The sequence below is a fragment of the Homo sapiens genome, chromosome 11 (genome assembly GCF_000001405.40).
Source record: "Homo sapiens chromosome 11, GRCh38.p14 Primary Assembly".
Taxonomy (NCBI): Eukaryota; Metazoa; Chordata; class Mammalia; order Primates; family Hominidae; genus Homo; species Homo sapiens.
The window spans coordinates 72,203,656-72,223,542 of record NC_000011.10 but is presented as its reverse complement, the minus strand read 5'-3'; the positions used below and the strand labels follow the sequence as shown (position 1 = coordinate 72,223,542).

General features: G+C 44.2%; 1 protein-coding gene and 1 long non-coding RNA gene across 7 annotated transcripts in view, besides 1 other annotated feature; one reads left to right on the top strand and one right to left on the bottom strand.

Moving 5' to 3' along the window:
* Positions 61-290: a silencer, noted in NCBI's record as "silent region_3714". NCBI's record gives its function as "represses an Ori minimal core promoter by ATAC-STARR-seq in GM12878 lymphoblastoid cells {active_cell/tissue: GM12878}" and the evidence as "EXISTENCE:reporter gene assay evidence [ECO:0000049][PMID:35858748]".
* On the bottom strand, positions 1,593-6,749 carry FOLR2 (folate receptor beta). 6 transcript variants are annotated; one of them, XM_047426683.1, is made up of 6 exons: positions 6,618-6,749; positions 5,806-5,823; positions 4,809-4,982; positions 2,485-2,673; positions 2,232-2,367; positions 1,593-2,073 (listed from the first exon to the last, which is right to left on the bottom strand). In XM_047426683.1, exons 3-6 carry the CDS (start codon positions 4,956-4,958, stop codon positions 1,781-1,783), a joined length of 768 nt encoding a protein of 255 aa, XP_047282639.1. In that variant the 5' UTR covers positions 4,959-4,982; positions 5,806-5,823; positions 6,618-6,749; the 3' UTR covers positions 1,593-1,780. The 6 variants fall into 6 exon arrangements, with proteins under 6 accessions (XP_047282639.1, NP_000794.3, NP_001107007.1 ...); NM_000803.5 differs by lacking the exon at positions 5,806-5,823; NM_001113535.2 differs by lacking the exon at positions 5,806-5,823 and having other exon boundaries at positions 4,809-4,970.
* A 7,552-nt stretch (positions 6,750-14,301) lies between these two features.
* Positions 14,302-19,887, top strand: part of FOLR1-AS1 (FOLR1 antisense RNA 1) — a 45,920-nt gene continuing 40,334 nt past the window's right edge. The window contains exon 1 of the long non-coding RNA NR_199595.1: positions 14,302-14,496. This is a non-coding gene — a long non-coding RNA (FOLR1 antisense RNA 1). The remainder of the gene's footprint in view (positions 14,497-19,887) is intronic.

The following is a 19,887-nucleotide window of genomic DNA, read 5'->3' as shown; positions in this document are numbered from 1 at the left end:
ACGGGTATTATTAGCACTCGCCCCCGCCCCAGCGGCTCCCTCCGAGTCAGCAAACTCGCGCCTCCGCGGGCCGGACGCCCAGCGGGGAGCTCCCAGACGGGGTCCGCTGCAACGCCCCCCTAGCTTCCTCCCCTCCAGCCGAGGGCGGAAGGGGGACGCGGCAGCCGCAAAGGGGGCGGAGCCCATAAAAGGGTCTGGCCCGCCCCCTCCCAAAAAAAGACCTAGCCGGTGGCGGCGTCTCCGGGGAGTCGTCTTCCTGCCCCGCCCCTCCGCCCCCTGGCTCCTTAAAGGCGCAGGCCTCCAGCCGGGCGCCCGCCGCCACCATCTCCTGGGCCGCCGTGGGAGAATCCCTTTAACCTGGGAGAGAACTTTCACTTTGCTACGTTGAACCTGTTGACGGAGCCCGGGTCAGTCCCTCGAGCTCCTTCCTCTATTTCAAATATGCATTGACTTAACCCAGCTGGAGCAGAGCCTGGGACGTGGAAGGGGCTCTGTGGGGCCTTCCACACTAGATAAATATAATAACTAAGAGATCCACCCACCCACCCAACAGTGCCTCCAGAACCCAATAACTCATCCTACAATCTGTGCCACCGTTCTCATCAGCCACCTTTTAGTATAAGAAAAGATGAGCCTGATGTGAGGGGAATCCTTGGTAGTGGGGGAGAGACCTGGACTGGGAGTCTGCACACCTGGGTTCTAGTCCTAGCTGGGCCACCTACCTGCAGGGTGTTCTCAGAGACTTACCTGGGCCTCTCTGGGGACAGTTGTAGTAGGAGTGTGCAAACAAAGACTTATCCAAAGGGAAAGGGGTGTTGGGAGACCCAGAGATAACTTAGGCCCAGCTCCCGAGGGCTTTGCAAAGACAGAGCAACCCCCTCAAGATAGGCATATCTGCCAATCCCAGGAGGAGACAAAGGTGCCAGAGGCTCCTGACCCCGGGAAGCCCTTAAGGGTTTCTAACTCTTCCAGCCACACCTCCAGGACACCAAAGCGCTGAACCAGTTCCAGGCTCTTGAGTATTCCACTCCAGAAACCCCCTACACTGCCCTCTCCAATTGGCTCTGTTTTTCCTCTGAGAGTCCCAGGCCCCAACTCTGCTCCTTCAATGTGCATCACGTTTTTTTCATCCCACTGTGAATTTTTTTCATCCCACTGGCAATCTGAATCCTTTCCTGGACTCCCATTCCCAGCTTTCCTGTTACAGAGCCGAGCACAGAGCCAGGCACAAGGGCTGGAGGACCAGGAGGCTGTTTGGAGACCAAGACAAATAAGCTCAGGACCTGGCTCCCACTTGGGGCAACAGGAACAACAGGATCCCTGAAGACTATTAATGTGCAGACACTGGGCTCACGGGCTTTCTAGGCAACAGCTCCTGTATATTTCACAAGCCTGAGGGCAGGACTATTATCCTCTTTTTATCCAGAAGGAAACAAAGGTTTAGAGCAGTGAAGCAACTGTTTCATTTTCACAAAGTAGCAGAGCTGGGATTCAAACACAGGTCTAGTTGCTCTAATTTGAAGGAATCCAGAAGCCGTAGAATCTGTCTCCCACCCACCCACAAACTCACAACCAAAACAATTCCACAGACATGGAATTATTAGAAAACAGTCTGTTTATTAGAAGTGACTCTTGGCCCCACCATGGAGCAGCAACAGACTGGGTGACAGAGGGTTAGGTGACTAATAGAAGCATGCTTAAGGGGCTGTCATTTGTGGGAGCTGAGCTGAGCCCAGCCTGGTTATCCAAGCTGAGGGCAGGTAGTCTGGGAGGACTGAACTCAGCCAAGGAGCCAGAGTTGCAGCATCAGGGCCAGACTGAGCAGGAGACCCCCAGTCCCATGAAGCATCTCACCAGCATTCACATGCATGGCTGCAGCATAGAACCTCGCCACTTCCTCGTTGGGGTTGCCCTGGGCTGAATCAAACCACATCTGGATGCAGCGGCCGCTCCCTCGGCTGTAGTTGCTGACCTTGTATGAGTGACTCCAGAGGCCTTCACAAAGGGCAGCTGGAGTGGGGAAGTAGGACTCAAAGGTGCGGCAGAGAGCCCCAGCTGGGCACTTGTTAACTCCTGCAGGGAGAGGCATGGTGGACACAGACTTTCAGCCCCTGGGCCCAAAGCTCATTTCTGGCCACCCCCAGAAATCTTCACCCCACCCCAAATCCTTGAAGATTTTCCAAACCCTACCTCAATCTCCTTTTTCCTAACCCCAACTCAATCACCCTCACCTGAGGTCCAGTCCCATCCTCTGTGCCAGTTGCTCTTGCACGTGTGGGAGGTGTGACAATCCTCCCACCAGCGCTGACAGTCCTCTTTGCATAAGGGCACATCCAGGAAGCGTTCTTTGCGCCAGCTCTGATTCACCTGGGTGGGAGGTGGGGAGGCAGGGCTCCTCTCAGCCAGGGATGCTGGCAGCCATCGCCTTGAAGTGACTGAGGGGGATGGCAGTCTGCTGGGGTGGGTGGGGGGGAGACACCCTACCTGCTGGATCCAGGGCCCCAGGTTGGGTGAGCACTCATAGAGACAGGTGTCCTGGATGAAGTGGCGCTTGCAGGCGGGCTCCATCTTGCCGCAGTGGTCCCAGTTAAAGTTGTACAGGCGGGAGGTGTCCTTGTGCAGCTCCTGGCTGGTGCTGGCTGTGCAGCAGGCATTCTTCTTCCAGGGACTGCACTGGGTGGGGAAGACACAGGACTAAGTGCCTCCCCATACCCTCCTCCTCCTGCCACCTCGTGTCTCTCCCCCATTTGGTTCTTACTCCTCTGCCCTAGGCAGGTTGTCCTGAGAACACTCAGGTTCCCAGATGATGGTCCCTCTCTCCTAGGCCTCCAGGAACCCCTTTCTTGGAGGAAACACAATTACAACCGTGTGATCAGGGGACTGTGGGAGCCCAGGGGAAACCCTGTCTTGGGAATAATAGTTATCATTTATGAGGTATGTAACACTTCATAAAAAGTCCTTTCACTTACTCATTTAAAAATTATTGAGCACCTACTTTATGCCAGTCACGGTTATAGATGCTGGGAATACAGAAGAGAACAAAACAGACAGAAATATGTATTCATGGAATTTTCATTCTGGTCAGAGGAGACAGACAGTAAGAAACTTAAAAAATATATATATATGGTATGTCAGGATATGATAAATGATATGGGAAAAGTTAAATGATATGAGCAGGAAATGGTAATGTGGAATTGCTGAAATTTTAAATAGGTTAGGAAATGCCACATTGGTGACATTTTGAGCAAAGGAAGAGAGGGAGCGAGCCATGGAGTAATGGAGTTTGAATATATTTATTCTTCTTGGCATGTAGTAAGATCTGTGTCCCCAGTGGCTAGGCCAGTGCCAGACACATAGTAGGCCCATGAAAATATTTGCTGGAAAAAGTAAGCAAAAGCCAGGCTGGGCGTGGTGGCTCGTAGCTGTAACCCCAGCACTTTGGGAGGCCGAGGCAGGTCTACCACCTGAGGTCAGGAGTTTGAGACCACCCTGGCCAACATGGTGAAACCTCGTCTCTGGTAAAAATACAAAAAAATTAGCCAGGCATGGTGGCGGGTGCCCCAGCTACTTGGGAGGCTGAGGCAGGAGAATCACCAGAACCCCGGAGGCGGAGGTTGCCGTGAGCTGAGATCACACCATTGCACTCCAGCCTGGGCAACAGAGTGAGACTCCTTCTCAAAAAAAAAAAAAAAAGTAAGCAAAAGCCCTACTTTTTAAATGTATCTCTATCTTACATATAGGCACATCATGTTTTCACAAGATTTTAATCTAGACTGGGTTTTCCAGGACTGCAAATACCATGAAATAGAAGGCTGTACTATGTGGTTTATTCTACTAGAATTATTCACTATTTTAGAAAAGTATGACATCAACAGCAACATTGCTTATATTATAGTATCTTATAGTGTTTAAGTCACCAATAGAATATACCTGTATCAATCTTCATTTGTAGCTCCCCACTTATAATGATTTTATGACAAAAGCAAGCATGTGCTATTTCCTAATGCCTTCTAATGTAGTCATACCAGAGAACTGACATATTGAAATATATATTATTTTATTACAAGTTACTTTCTGTGTGTTTCTCCTTTATATTACAGAGCATTATGTTGATATTTGCAAAAATTATGCATACAAATAGGTTCTTTGAATTTCATTGCAGGATAGAAAAGAGAATCTAAAAAAAAATCTGTCATAAAAGGGAGACATTGAGTCTAATAAGGCTGCAATCCCCTGGCATACATGTATATAGACTGTGTGAATGTCCAGCCCCTGTGCCTCAAATTACAGCCAGAAGGGCCTCCTCCTCTTCTCCCTTGGCACTCCATGGAAATGGCACTTAGTGAGGGTGGGAAAAGCCAGCGACTCCCTAGTCTGTCACCCACCAAAGGAGGAGCCTAACCCACTCCTATTCCTACCCCTCCACAGGGGCCATTCATGTCCAGCTCCTGTGTGGGCCCATGTGCTTCTGTGAGCCTCATTTTCACTTACTTGTGTAATGTGGAGAATATCATCTACCTACATCCAAGAACCCCTGGGAATATGAAATTTTGTACAAAAAACACATGACAACTGACAGGTGCCCATCGAATGACGACTCAATATCATTGTCAACATGGTATCCACCTCCGGGGAGGGCCCCCCTAAAATCACCTCAGCCACTCTTCCTACTCCACCTTCATCTTCTCCCACAGGAAAACTTCAGGATGTGGAGGTATCTGACCCCTCAATCCCTCTCCCACCATCCTGACTTTCTCCTCCCTGTTAGAACAAGCCCCCTCCTTAGCAGAGGCACACTCCAGCCGTACTTGGTCATGCAGCTTGTCCTCAGGACCTGGCTTTGTCTTGTGGTGCTTGGCATCCATACAGACATTGAGGAGATCAGTCCTGTCCTGGGCACTGCACATGGTGGCTACACAGACCAGAAGCAGCAGAAGTGGCATCCATTTCCAGACCATGTCTTTCTGTCCCTGCAGGCGGAGCTAGGGTAGGGAAACCAAGTCCTGAGGGGAAAGGGCTCCAAGCTGGGAGCCCATTCACCTCCTGCCTCAGTCTCCCCAACCCTACGGTGGCAAATGAGGTCAGACCCTGTTCCTTCAATGCTGGGGCCCTGAAGCTCCCTGAGGCTAGGGTAGAGAGGGTTGACCAGGAGGGCTCCCTCACCCCCAGGCTTTAAAGGCTCAGGAGAACTGGCGTTAGTGAGTGAGCCCTGGGGGAGTCTTCCCAATTTGGAGGAGATACTTTGCGCCCTCACCTTTTCTCTAGGCTTTATCTATGACAAGTAATTAAATTCTTCAGGTCTATCCTCTGCTTCCCTGAACAGAGCCAGGGACACATAATGTCTTCACCCTCTGTCCAGCAAGGGCTCTGTGGTTAGATGATAGATCACCTGGGGTCTTGTGCCAGCTTAGAAACCAGGTTAGCCTTGGGGAAGGCAGTGACCCAGCTCTGCCGAGTTCTCAGATCAGCATGAGGATCAAGTGACAGAACCCACAGGATGGTGTTTGGTTAAATGATACGGAAATGGAAAGAGCAGTGTTTTTTAAGTAGTTTTGCTTCCTCAGACTTTTTCCTTCCCTATTCTCTGAAAGCCATTTTCCTTTCCAGCCTCCTCAGCTGTCTCTGGGCTAATGCAGCAGACCTCACCCTACCTCTCAAAAAACAAATGCAGATGAGAATGATATAGACTGGGGGTGGGGCAAGGTGAGGAGGGGGTGAGGAATAAAAGACTATATACTGAGTACAGTGTACACTGCTCCGGTGACTGGTGCACTAAAATTCAGAAATCACCACTAAAGAACTTATCTATGCAACCAAAACCACCTGAAAAACGATAGAAGTTTAAAAAATTCAAAATAATTTTTTTAAAAATGCAGAGAGACCCTTAGATCTGAGAGACAACATGAAAGTTTCCCATGTTGGAGCAGCCAGACCAGCACTTAGTGTCCTGGAAGGCACTCAACAACAGGAGCAGCCCTCGCCTCCTCTGTTCATTGCTGCCCTTGCCCCCACCCCCAGCCATTACAGAGCTGTTCCTTTGGGCTCTGTCACTAAAGAGTGGATAATGGATACTGCTTCCTCTCCCTCTCTGGTAAAGGTCCCTCCAAAAACTTACTGACCATGGCTCTATGTTTAGTGTCAAGTCTTCCCTCTTCCAATTTCTTCCCCTTCAAGTTGCCTTCCCCACAGGAGCCAGCATGATCTTTCTAAAGAAAGATGTGGCCGGGCACAGTGGCTCACGCCTGTAATCCCAGCACTTTGGGAGGCCGAGGTGGGTGGATCCTGAGGTCAAGAGTTCGAGACCAGCCTGACCAACATGATGAAACCCCGTCTCTACTAAAAATACAAAAATTAGCCAGGCGAGGTGGTGGGCACCTGTAATCCCAGCTACTCAGGAGGCTGAGGCAGGAGAATCACTTGAACCCAGGAGGCAGAGGTTGCAGTGAGCCAAGATCGTGCCACTGCACTCCAGCCTGGGTGACAGAGCGAGACTCTGTCTCAAAAAATACAATACAATACAATACAATACAGAAAGAAAGGTGTGTTCCTCCCCTCTGCACAAACTCTCCAAGTCTCCCCACTGCCCTTGTCACCCTTCCCTCCTTCGGGCATCTTGCCTGAACCTCCGTTGCTGCTGGGAGCATACACGGCTGTGTCTGAGTTGGCCTCTCTCTAAGTAGGCAATAGATCCAGGCCCCTAGGCTGTCCCCACAGCCTCTGTCTTCGGTACAGGGTAGACAACGCGCTCTGGTAAGCACTGAGTGAAATCTCCCTACTTAGCTATTCTCCTTCCTCTCTTCCTTCCCTTCCAGACCCCACCCTCTTCAAGGCTCCCTGAGTCTGTCCATTTAGTCATTCCTGCTTGCATTCATCTCCTTACTTGTTAATTTACTCATTCCAGCATCCACACATTCAACTTTCATCAAAATCTAGAGAATTGCTCATCACCAGGGGGCATCTGGATTTTATAGATACCCCAAGTGGTTCTTAGGATAAGGCCAGCTCGATGGAGATTAGGTCTGGTGGAAAAGAACCCAGGCTTTAGGGTCAGGCCAATGGGACCCAATGAGAGCTCCATCTCTTGCACAACCTTGGGAAAAGTCACTGGACCTTACTGAGCTTCAGTTTGCTCACTAGAAAATTGTTCACAATTGTATAGGGAAAAGCCTGGCACATACTGAGTAGGCTTAAGTGACAGCTATTGGGTTAATTTATGGGCAGCCAGGTGGACATAGGTAGAAGTTGAGGTATAGGCTGGGCATGGTGGCTCACGTCAGTAATCCCAGCACTTTGGGAGGCTGAGGCAGACAGATCACTGAGGTCAGAAGTTCGAGACTACCCTGGACAACATGGTAAAACCCTGTCTCTACTAAAAATACAAAAATTAGTGGGGTGTGGTGCCGTGCGTGCACTGTAATCCCAGCTACTTGGGAGGCTGAGGCACAAGAATTGTTTGAACCCGAGAGGCAGAGGTTGCAGTGAGCTGAGATCGCACCACTACACTCCAGCCTGGGCGACAGAGCGAGACTTCATCTCAAAAAAAAAAAAAAAAAAAAAAAAAAGTTGAGGTATAGAAGTCAAGGGTCACAGAAAAATTAAAATTGTCTCAAATATGTTAAACAGCAATATATTACCATCTGGCATTTCTGAAAACATAATTAAGCAATTTTTGATGGCCTTTTAAAAATTGTGGTAAAAACACACGTGACATACAATGTGCCATCTTAACCATTTCTAACGGTACAGTTCAGCAGTGTCAAATATAGTCATACTGTTTGCAATCAATCTTGGAAACTTTTCATCCTGCAAAACTGAGACTCCATATCCATTAAACGATTCCCCACTTTCACTTTCCCTAGCCCCCGCCAACCACCATTCTATTTTCCGTCTCTGTGATTTGGGCTACTGTACTGTAAGTTCCTTGTCCAAGTGGAATCATGCAATATTTGTCTTTTCGTGACTGGCTTTTCGTAATGTCCCCAAGATTTGTCCATGTTGTAAGGTGTATCCGAATTTCATTCCTTTTTAAGGCTGGGTAATATTTCATTGTATGTATGTACCACATTTTCTTTATTTATTCATCTATCAATGGACCTTTGGGTTGCTTCCACTTTTGGCTATCATGAAGAATACTGCTATGAAAATGGGCATATAAATATGTCTTTAAGACCTTTCTTTCAATTCTTTTTGGTATATATCCAGAAGTGAAATTGCAGGATTATATGGTAAGTCTATATTTAATTTTTGAAGAACTGCCACACTGTTTTCTGTAGTGGCCACACCATTTTACATTTCCATCAGCAGTGCACAAAGGTTCCAATTTCTCCACATCCTCATCAACACTTATTTCCTGTTTTGGGAGTTTTGGGTTTATAGTAGCCATCATGTTGAGTGTGAGGCGATATCTCATTGTGACTTTGATGTACATTTCTCTAATAATTAGTGATAATGAGCATCTTTTTCCATGCTTATTAGCCATTTGTATATCTTCTTTGGAGAAATGTCTATTCAAGTCATTTGCCTATTTTTAAAATTGAGTTTTCTTTTTGTTGAGTTGTAGTATTCTTTTATGTATTCTGAATTCACCCTTTATCAGGTATATGATTTGCAAATATTTTCTCCCATTCTGTATGTTGCCTGTTGATTGTCCTTTGATGGACAGAAGTTTTTAATTTTGATGTAGTCCAGTTACCTATTTTTACTTTTGTTTCCTGTGCTATTGGTCTCATATTCAATAACTCATTGCCTAATTCAATGTCATGAAACTCTTTGCCTAGGTTTTCTTCAAAGACTTTCATCATTTTTGCTTTTATGTTTATTTAGGTCATGGATCTATTTTGAGTTGTTTTTAATATTGTATAAAGATGTATTTATACAAGTGTATTACACCTGTGTAAAGCTGTAAGATAAAGGTCCAACTTTTTTTCGCATATGAATATCCAGTTGTGTCCCAGCACCATTTGTTGAAGACTATTCTTTTCCCCATGTTTTAATACCCTTGTCAAAAACCTGGACTCCCAGTTTGATTCCACTGATGTATATGTCTCTCCTTGTGCCACTACCATGCTGTCTTGATTATTGTAGATTTGTAGTAAGTTGTGAAAGTGAAAAGTGTTATTTCTCCAATTTTTTTCTTTTTCAAGATTGCTTTGGCTATTCTGGATCTCTTTCATGTCCATATGAATTTTAGAATCAGGTTGTCAATTTCTACAAAAAAGACAGCTGGGATTTTGACAGCTCTTGAGTTGAATCTGTAGATCAGTTTGGGAGAGTATTGCAATGTTAACAATATTAAGTATTCTGACTGATGAACACGAGATTTGTTTCTATGTATTTAGGTTTTTAATGTCTTTCAACAATGTTTTATAGTTACAAGTCTTTTACTTGTAACTTTTACTTTTGTTAAACTTATTCCTACATATTTTATTCTTTTTGATGCTATTATGAATGGAATCATATTCTTTTTTTTTTTTTTGAGACAGAGTCTCATGCTCTGTCCCCCAGGCTGGAGTGCAGTGGCATGATCTTGGCTCATTGCAACCTCCACCTCCCAGGTTCACGCCATTCTCCTGCCTCAGCCTCCCGAGTAGCTGGGACTACAGGCGCGCGCCACCACACCCAGCTAATTTTTTGTATTTTTAGTAGAGACGGCGTTTCACCGTGTTAGCCAGGATGGTCTCGATCTCCTGACCTCGTGATCTGCCTGCCTTGGCCTCCCAAAGTGCTGGGATTAGGAATCATATTCTTAAATTCATTTTCATATTTGTTCACTGCTAGTGTATAGAAATGCAATTGATTTTTGTATTTTGATCTGGTATCCTGAAACTTGTTGAACTCATTTAGTGGTAATGATATTGTTTTTATGGATTCCTTAGAATTTTCTGTATACAATATCATATCATCTATGAGTAAAAATAGTTTCACGTCTTGCTTTCCAATTTGGATACCTTTTATTTCTTTTTTCTTGAATAATAGCACTAACTACAACCTTCAGTACAATTTAAATAGACATGGTGAGAGTACATATCCTTTTCTTATTCCTGATCTTAGGTTGAAAGCCTTTCACCATTGAATATGATGTTATGTGTTTTTTCAGAGATGCTCTTCATTGGGTTTTGGGTTGAGTTCCCTTCTATTTCTAGTTTGTTCAGCATTTGTTTAATCATGAAAGGATATTGAATTTTGTCAAACAAGGTTTTCTTCACTAATTGAGATGATCATGTGGTTTTTGTCCTTTATTCTAATAATACGGTGAACATCAATTGATTTTTGGATGCTAAGCCAACTTCCATTCCTGGAATAAATCCTGCTTAGTAATAGTATATACTTTTGACCTGTTGCTGGATTCAGTTTGCTAATATTTGGTTAAGCAGATTTATGTCTTAATTCGTAAGGAATATTGATCTATGTTTTCTTTTCTTGTGATATCTTTGTCCGATTTTATAACAAGGTAATACTGGCTCATATAATACAACTTACAGAATGAGTTGAGAAATATTTCCTCCTTTTATTTTTTGAAAGAGTTTGTAAAGGATTGGTATGAATTGTTCTTTAAACATTTGAGCCAGGTGCGGTAGTTCATGGCTGTCCTCCCAGCACTTTGAGAGGCAGAGGTGGGAGGATCACTTGAGCTCAGGAGTTCGATACGAGCCTGGGAAACATAGTGAAATCTTGTCTCTACTAAGAATAAAAAAAATTAGCCAGGCATGGTGGCATGCACCTGTAATCCCAGTTACTTGGGAGGCTGAGGTGAGAGGATTGCTTGAGCCCAAGAGGTTGAGGCTGCAGGAAGCTGTGATCATGCCACTGCACTCCAGCCTGGGTGACAGAGCGAGACCTTGTCTGTAAAATAAGTAAATAAATAAATAACATTTTGTAGAAACCACCACTGAGGCCATCTGGGCCTGAAATTTTCTTTGTGGGAAATTTTAAAATTACTAACTCAACCTCTTTACTTGTCACAAGTCTATTTGTATTCTTTACTTCTTGTGTTATCTTTGGTAGTTTGTGACTTTATAGGAATTTGTTCGTTTTATCGGTGTTAACTAATATGTTGCATACAATTGTTTATACTATTCCCTTATAATCCTTTATATTTCTGTGAGGTCAGTACTGATCTTCCCTTTGTCATTCCTGATTTTATTGATTTGATTCTTCTCTCCTTTTTTCTTGATCAATCTAGATAAAGCTCATCAGTTTTGTTGATTTTTTAAAGAACTAACTTGATTTTGTTGATTTTTGGTGTTTTTCTATCCTCTATTCCATTTATTTTTGCTCTAATCTTTACTATTTCCTTCTTTTTCCTAGTTTATTTTGCTCATCTTTTTCTGTTTTGTTTTGTTTTGAGACAGGGTCTCACTCTGTCACCCAGGCTGGAGTGCAGTGGTGCCATCTCGGCTCACTGCAACCTCTGCCTCCCAGGCTCAAGTGATTCTCTTACCTCAGGCTCTTGAGTAGCTGGGACTACAGGCACACGCCACCACGCCTGGCTAATTTTTGTATTTTTTGTAGAGACGGTGTTTCGCCATGCTGCCCAGGCCGGTCTCGAACTCCTGAGCACAAGTGATCTGCCCGCCTCGGTCTCCCAAAGTGCTGAGATTATAGGCATGAGCCACTGCACCTGGCCCTTTCTCTGTTTTTTTTAAGGTAGTAGGTTAGCTTATTGATTTAAGTTATTCTTCTTTTTCATATTGACATTTACAAATCTAAATTTCTCTCCAAGCACTGCTTTAGCTACCTCCCTTAGGTTTTGGTATTTTGTGTTTTCATTTCATTCATCTTAAAGCATTTTCTAATTTCCCTTGTGATTTACGAGTATATTTAATTTATACATATTTGTAAATTTCCTGAATGTTCTTATCTTATTTTTTAATGTCATTCCATTGTGATCAGGGAAGATATTTTCTTCTATTTCAATTATTTTTAATTTATTGGTACCTTTTTTAATGGCCCAAAATATGGTGTTCCATGTGTACTTGAGAAGAGTATATATTCTGCTGTTGTTTGGCTGGAGTGTTCTGTAGATATCTGATGGGTCTAGTTGGTTGATAGTGTTGTTCAAGTTCTCTACTACCTAGTTTTTCTAAATACTACTGGTAGCGGGATATGGAAATCTCCAACTGTTATTGTTGAATAAAGTATTTCTCTCCTCAATTCTGTTATTTTTTGCTTCATGTGTTTTGGGACTCTGTTGATAGTTGCATTTATATTTATATTTGCTATGTCTTCTTGATGGATTGACCCTTTTATCATTTTTAAATGACTTCCTTTGTCTCTTAACAATTTTTGTCTTAAATTCCCTTGTCAATATCATTACATTACCTATACAGGTACAAACTACACCTGTGTAGTAGAGACAAGGTCTCACTATGTTGCCCAGGCTGGTCTCAAACTCCTGAGCTCAAGTGATCCTCCTGCCTCAGCTCTCTAAAGTAAAATAATTTGTATTCTTAACAAAGTACTGTAGCTTTACTTGTTTTTACTAGTTTTTCTTTCAACTTTTTTTTTTTTTTTTTGAGACGGAGTTTCCCTCTTGTGGCCCAAGCTTGTGTGCAGTGGTGCGATCTCGGCTCACTGCAACCTCCACCTCCTGGGTTCAAGCAATTCTCCTGCCTCAGCCTCCCAAGTAGCTGGGATCTTTCAACCTTTTTTACTAGAGATATAAAATTAATGTACCTACTGCCATTATAGCATTTAAATATTTTGAATTTGACAACATACTTTTTTTTGTGTGTGAGACAGAGTCTTGCTGTGTTGCCCAGGCTGGAGTGCAGTGGCATGATCTCAGCTCACTGCAACCTCCGCCTCCAGGGTTCAAGTGATTTTCCTGCCTCAGCCCTCCAAATAGCTGGGATTACAGGCATGTGCCCAGCTAATTTTTGTATTTTTAGTAGAAGCAGGGTTTCACCATGTTTGCCAGGCTGGTCTCAAACTCCTGACCTCAGGTGATCCACCTGCCTCGGCCTCCTAAAGTGCTGGGATTACAGGTGTGAGCCACCACATCGGGCCTGACAACGTACTTACTTTTACCAGTGAGTTTCACACTTTCATATATTTTCATGTTACTAATTAACATCCTCTTCTTTTGGCTTAAATAAGTCCCTTTAGCATTTCTCATAAGGCAGATCTAGTGGTGATACATTCTCTCAGCTTTTGTTAGTCTGAGGAAGTCTTTATCATTCTCCCTTTTTGGAAGACAGGGTTCCTTGGTATTGTACTTGGTTAAAATTTATTTTTCCTATAAGGATTTTGAATATATTATTCTACTTCTTTCTGGTTTGCAAGGTTTCTGCTGAAAACCCACTGATAATCTTATGGGTTTCCTTGCATGTAATGTTTCACTTTTCCCTTTCTGCTTTCAAAACTCTCTCTTTGTCTTTAACTTTTGACAGTTTGATTATGATGTGTCTCGGTGTGGGTCTCTTTGGATTAATCTTATTTGATGTCCTTTGGGCTTCGTGGATCTGGATTTCTATTTTTTTCCCCAGGTTTGGGGAGTTTTCTGCCATTATTTCTTTGAATATGTTTTCTAGCCCTTTCTCTTTGTTTTCTCCTTTTGATATACTGATAATGTCTATGTCGTTATGCTTCATGGTGTTCCATAAGTCTCTTAAATTATCCTCACTCTTTTTTTATTATTTTTTCCTTTTTAGTCCTCAGATTTTGTAATTTCCAGTAACCTGTCTTCAAATTCACTATTTTTTTTCCTACTTGATCTAGTTTACTATTGAACCCCTCTATTGAATTTTTAATTTCAGTTACAGTATTCTTCAGCTCTATTATTTCTATTCGGTACTTTTTAAATACTTCTTATCTCTTTATTGAAATTGTCAGTTTGTTCTTACATTGCTCCCCTGACCTCAGTAAGCATCTCCATGGTCATTATTTTGAATTCTCTGTCAGGTAAATCACATATCTCCACTTCACTCAGGTCAGTTTCTGGATATTCATCTTGTTCTTCTATTTAGAACATATTCCTCTATTTCTTCATTTTCCTTGACTCTCTGTGTTGGTTTCTGCACATTAGATAAAATAACTATCTGTATTAGTCCATTTTCACACTGCTATAAAGAACTTCCCAAGACTGGGTGACTTACAAAGGAAAGAGGTTTAATTGACTCAAAGGTCAGCATGGCTGGGTAGGCCTCAGGAAACTTAGAATCATGGCTGAAGGCTAAGGGGAAGCAAGGCACATTCTTCACAAGGCAGCTGGAAGGAGAAGTGCCGAGCAAAGGGGGAGGAGCCCCTTGCAAAACCATCAGATCTCCTGAGAACTCACTCACTATCACAAGAACAGCATGGGGGAAACTGCCCCCATGATTCAGTTACCTCCACCTCGCCTCTCCCTTGACTTGTGGGAATTACAAGGATTATACTTCAAGATGAGATTTGGCTGGGGACACAAAGCCTGAGCATATCACTATCGCTCTCAGTCTTGTCCGACTGGCCTCGTGTAGGAGAAGGCTCTCACCTATCTGTCTGACCAGAGATTTTAAGGTACCTCTCAAGTCTTTGTGTTTGTCCAGACCTCTATTCTGTTTTTGGTGCCCCCCTGGAGTTTATGTCATATCATTTCAGTATTCTGAGACCAGTAAAGCAGGAGCCAGACTCTGTAGGTGTAGCTGGAAATGTTGGAGTGTTGGGTGTGTGTTTCAGCTACTTCTATCTTTGTGGTAAACCTGAATACAGGTGTTTATCTCCCATTCTCTCTGCACTAAGCTGAGGAGAAAATCTGTGGCAAATGCCTTTACTAACATTCAGGTTGTGCCTTCTGATCCTGGGGAAATAGCTGTTGGAAGCGTGCCTATTATATGTTCACCTCTTCATTTTCTGTGGTCTCAGCCCACCCAGGAATGCAAAGCTCCATCAACTTCAAGAGCTAGGTCATTAAGGAGACAGATCCCAGGGTTGGAGCCATAGAAGTAGTGGCACTCAGTGCATGGCCAAGCTCCTTCCTGTAAGAATGAGTAGACCTGGATTTATTTATGGGGTGAGCCAGAGGAAAGTTTCATGAAGTTCCCTTGCTAAAGCTGTAATAGGGCTATTGTTTGTTTGCTCCATGATCTCCGTGGTGCAAGTTTGTTAGCTGTTAGGTCATCAAGTAGCCACTGGAAGTGTACTATAAGCCCCTTCTGGAGAGAAAATGGGAACTAGATGTTCCCTCCCCTTTTCTCAATTGTTCCAAAGGACCATAGCCCTGGAACTGTTTGTGCACCGATTTAAAACTACGTCTTTGTTCTGTGATCTAGAAAGACTCACATATGGCCGGGTGCAGTGGCTCACGCCTGTAATCCCAACACTTTGGGAGGTCAAGGCAGATGGATCATTTGAAGTCAGGAGTTCGAGATCAGCCTGACCAACATGGTGAAACCCTGTCTCTACTAAAAATGCAAAAATAATAGCTGGACATGGTGGTGAATGCCTGTAATCCCAGCTACTGGGGTGGGGGCTAAGGCAGGAAAATCACTTGAACCTGGGAGGCAGAGGTTGCAGTGAGCTGAGATTGCACCACTGTACTCCACTGTACTCCATCCTGGGTGACAGAGCAAGATTCTGTCTCAAAAAAAAAAAAAAGACTCACATATGCCTAGTCCCTTCTGCTCCCAGACTTAAAAGGTTTAGGATGGAGACCTTTGGGAGGTAACTGAAAAGTTGGGGCACTCGATGCATGCCAAAAACCCCTTCCAAAGAGAAACAGGAAGCTGCTTTATATATATAGAGAGAGATGAGGTCTTGCTATGTTGCCCAGGCTGGTCTTGAACTCCAGGCCTCAAGTGAATCTCCTGCCTCAGCCTCCCAAAGTGGTGGAATTACAGGTATGAGCCACTGTGCCTGGCTTTTTTTTTTTTTTTTTTGAGACGGAGTCTCCCTCTATTGCCTAGGCTGGAGTGCAGTGGCACGATTCTGGCTCACTGCAACCTCTGCCTCCCAGGTTTAAGCAATTCTCTTGCCTCAGCCTCCCAAGTAGCTGGAAGTATAGGCACCTGCCACTATGCCAACTAATTTTTGTATTTTTGGTAGAGACGAGGTTTCACCATGTTGGCCAGCCTGGTCTCAAACTCCTGACCTCAGGTGATCCACCCGCCTCAGCCTCCCATAGTGCTGGGATTACAGGCCTGAGCCAGCACACGTGGATTTTTTTTTTTTTTTTTAATGGGCGATGCATTTCTCTTTCTTCCTTCCCTTCCTTCCTTCCTTCCTTCCTTCCTTCCTTCCTTCCTTCCTTCCTTCCTTCCTCTCTCTCTTTCTCTCTCCCTCTCTTTCTTTCTTCTTTTTTTTTGGGACTCACTGTGTCACCCAAGCTGGAGTACGGTGGCCCACTGCAATCTTCGCTTCCCAGGCTCAAGCAATCCTCCCACCTCAGCCTCCTGAGTAGTTGGAACTACAGGCATGCACCACCACACTGGGCTAATTTTTGTATTTTTTGTAGAGATAGAGTTTCACCATGTTGCCCAGGCTGGTCTTGAACTCCTGAGCCCAAGAGATCCGCCTGCCTTGGCCTCTCAAAGTGCTGGGATTACAGGCATGCGCCACTATGCCCTGCTGGGACCTGCATTTTTTAAAGCCCTTTCTGTGCACCACCCCTGGGGGATGAAGCCCCTGGAAGTACTTACATGCCCATATAAAGCTGCCACTTTTTTCCTGTGGTCTAGCTCCTCCCAGAGCTAGGAAGTTTAGGATGCAGTCCCTTGGGTTGAAGCTATGAAAGTTGGGGCAATTGATGTGTGGACAAACTCCTTCCAGGGGGTATTCATGTATGTGGGGGTATTGCTGGAGTGAGCTAGGGTAGAACGGTTGGGAAGTGCCAGTCTGCTTTTCAGGCTGGCTGCAGGTTAATATTTGTCTGACCCTTTAACTCCCCCGTGCAAATTAGTTAGAAGCCACACCATCAAGTAGCTACTGGAAAAGTGTGTCCCTTCCAGGGAGAAACAGGAGGTGCATTTTAAAGTCCCCTCTCTGCATTGATCGCGGGGAATTAAGCCCTTGGAAATACTTAAGTGCTAGTATAAAACCGTTGCATTTTGGCCAGGCCCAGTGGCTCACACCCGTAATCCCAGCACTTTGGAAGGCCAACGTGGCGGATCACAAGGTCAGGAGTTCGAGACCAGCCTGACCAACATGGTGAAACCCTGTCTCTACTAAAAATACAAAAATTAGCTGGGCGTGGTGGTGCGCGCCTGTAATCCACCACGCCTGTAATCCCAGCTACTCAGGAGGCTGAAGCGGGAGAATCGCTTGAACCCAGGAGGCGGAGGTTGCAGTGAGCTGAGATCGTGCCACTGCACTCCAGCCTGGGAAACAGAGCGAGACTCCGTCTCAAAAAAAAAAAAAAAAGTTGCTTTTTTCCTGTGGTCTGGAGAGACTTGTTCAGGTCTAATTCCCTCCACTCCCCAGGTTGGTGAATTAAGAGCCAAACTGTGGGACATTTAGAGTTAGGGCAGTACATGTGAGGTTTAATGCCATCTCTCCACAGGGAGAAGCTGGGTGTTGGGATTTCTTTCCCACTTTTATGGTGCAGTGCTTGGGGTGAGGTCTGTGCCTGAGTGTGCCTCAGCTTTTCCTATCTATTCGGTGTGGATGTTTCCTTAATTGCTGGATGGGTAGGAGTCTCTCAGCTGGCTCTCAGAGGAATTCCCTCTGGCTTTCTGTCAGAGGCAAAGGGATATTTATTTGGTATGTTCATGGGTAGAGGGTCAGGAGCTTCCTAGTCCACCATGTTGGTGACATCACTCACAAATATTCCTTAGATTTTTGAAATTTTTGGTTAGTTTTAAGAGTTCTAGAAAAGTTGTTTTTTTCTTTTTTTTTTTTTTTTGGAGATGGAGTCTCACTTTGTCACCCAGGTGAAGTGCAGTGACGTGATCCCGGCTCACCGCAACCTGCGCCTCCCGGGTTCAAGCAATTCTCCTGCCTCAGCCTCCCAAGTAGATGGCATTACAGGCATCTGCCACCATGCCTGGCTAATTTTTGTATTTCTAGTAGAGACGGGGTTTCACCATGTTGGCCAAGGTGGTCTCAAACTCCTGATCTCAGGTGATCTTCCCGCCTTGGCCTCCCAAAGTGCTGGGATTACAGGCATGAGCCACCGCACTCAGCTAAAAAAGTTGATTTTGACCATTTTTGCCAGTGTTTTTCTTGCTTTTATGGAGGAATGCATTTTCAAACGTCCTTATTCTGCCCTTCTAAAAGTGCTTCTTCAGATGACTTCTATTTTAAGAAATAGAAAGCTTTAAACAATATTGGCTGCTCATAAAAAATCATCTTTGAGTATAACATTTGAGTATAAGTCTACTTTTAACATGAAGAAACAAAAGTTATTTTTTATTTCCTGTGTGTTTTTCCCTGACAGCAGAGTTTAGGTTCTTACCCAAACTGAATGTGAATTTCACTTCTCAAAAAGCATGTTATTTTTCTTTCTTTTTTTTTTTTTTTTAATTTTCCTGTTGTGCTGACTCATGTCACAGTCTTGGGTCATGATATAAAATAAAACAATAGGATTCTTCACCTATAAAGAAGTTAGAGTTCCTAATGACAAGGTTGTTGTGAAATATAGTTTTCTTACACAGCCAAGATGAAGGCCTTTCCCAGAGAACACTTTTTTCTGTTGTCCTCCAAGATCAGGTCCTAATTCAGAATAATATAACTATCAAGGCATTTCTTTTTTAACAGCAAAATCATCTTACACTTCCCAGACAGCTACTGGATTACACCAAAAATTCACTCCCACACAGCATAACACTCATAAGGAAAGAAGGATACAAGGAGGGATGCTAAAAATAATTAGGTATAATTGGCATGCTCCATATTTTTAAAATTAGTTTATCAGTATTATGAGCTGCCTTGTCCATCATGTCCACAAAGTAGAGAAAGATGTCAGACCAAAAAGAGGGGCTCATTCCTTCTAGATATTTTTTTGAGATAGGGTCTCACTGTCACCCAGGCTAGAGTATAGTGGCACAAACACTGCTCACTGCAGCCTTGACCTCTTGGGCTCAAGCGATCCTCCTGCCTTAGCCTCCCCAAGTAGATGGGACTACAGGTGTGCACCACCATGCCCAGCTAATTATTTATTTTTTGTAGAGACGAGGTCTCACTATGTTGTCCAGGCTGTACAGATGTGAACCACCGCACCCAGCTAAGATGATTTTTATGCAAGGTAAAGTATTGTGAGTATGATTGTGGACCTTCCTGGAAGGATAAAAGTATACTCATATTCATGTGCAAGGCCTTACGTGATGACTGTCACATTTATGCCCATGTTGATTTTATTCCATAGTTTAACCTTGTACTATTGGTAGCAATTGTAGTACACGTGTTACAAAATAGACTATAAGGCCCTCAAGATTTGTAAATACATTCATTATCTATATCACCTGCAGAGCTCAGCCAACTAGAGAAGACACATAGAATTATCAAACATAAGTTAGGCTGGGCACGGTGGCTCACACCTGTAATCCTAACACTTTGAGAGCCCGAGGCGGGTGAATCACTTGAGGCCAGGAGTTCGAGACCAGCCTGGCCAACATGATGAAATCCCATCTCCACCAAAAACACAAAAAAATTAGCCAGATGTGGTGGCGTATGCCTGTGGTCCCAGCTACTCAGGAGGCTGAGGCATGAGAATCGCTTGAATCTGGGAGGTAGAGATTACAGTGAGCTGAGATCACGCCACCGCACTCCAGCCTGGGTGTCAGAGCAAGACTGTCTAAAAATTAAGAAAAAAGTTAAATCGGTTGAGAAGACTAAACCTCCCTGTCCCTTGCTCCCTCCCCAGGTTCTAATAATAATAGGTTCTATGTAGCCATCATCTGAGTCCTCATGAAATCTAGCAGTCGCCAGTAGGTTTGTGCCGTTATGTAGTAAACCCCAGTGAATATTCTTCTTTCA

Excerpts from the sequence above, each read along its gene's own strand:
- FOLR2 (XM_005273856.5), bottom strand. Across the intron at positions 2,368-2,484 it reads TGGGGCCCTGGATCCAGCAG|GTGAATCAGAGCTGGCGCAA; the intron begins GTAGGGTGTCTC and ends CCTCCCACCCAG. Across the intron at positions 2,074-2,231 it reads AGGATGGGACTGGACCTCAG|GAGTTAACAAGTGCCCAGCT; the intron begins GTGAGGGTGATT and ends CTCTCCCTGCAG.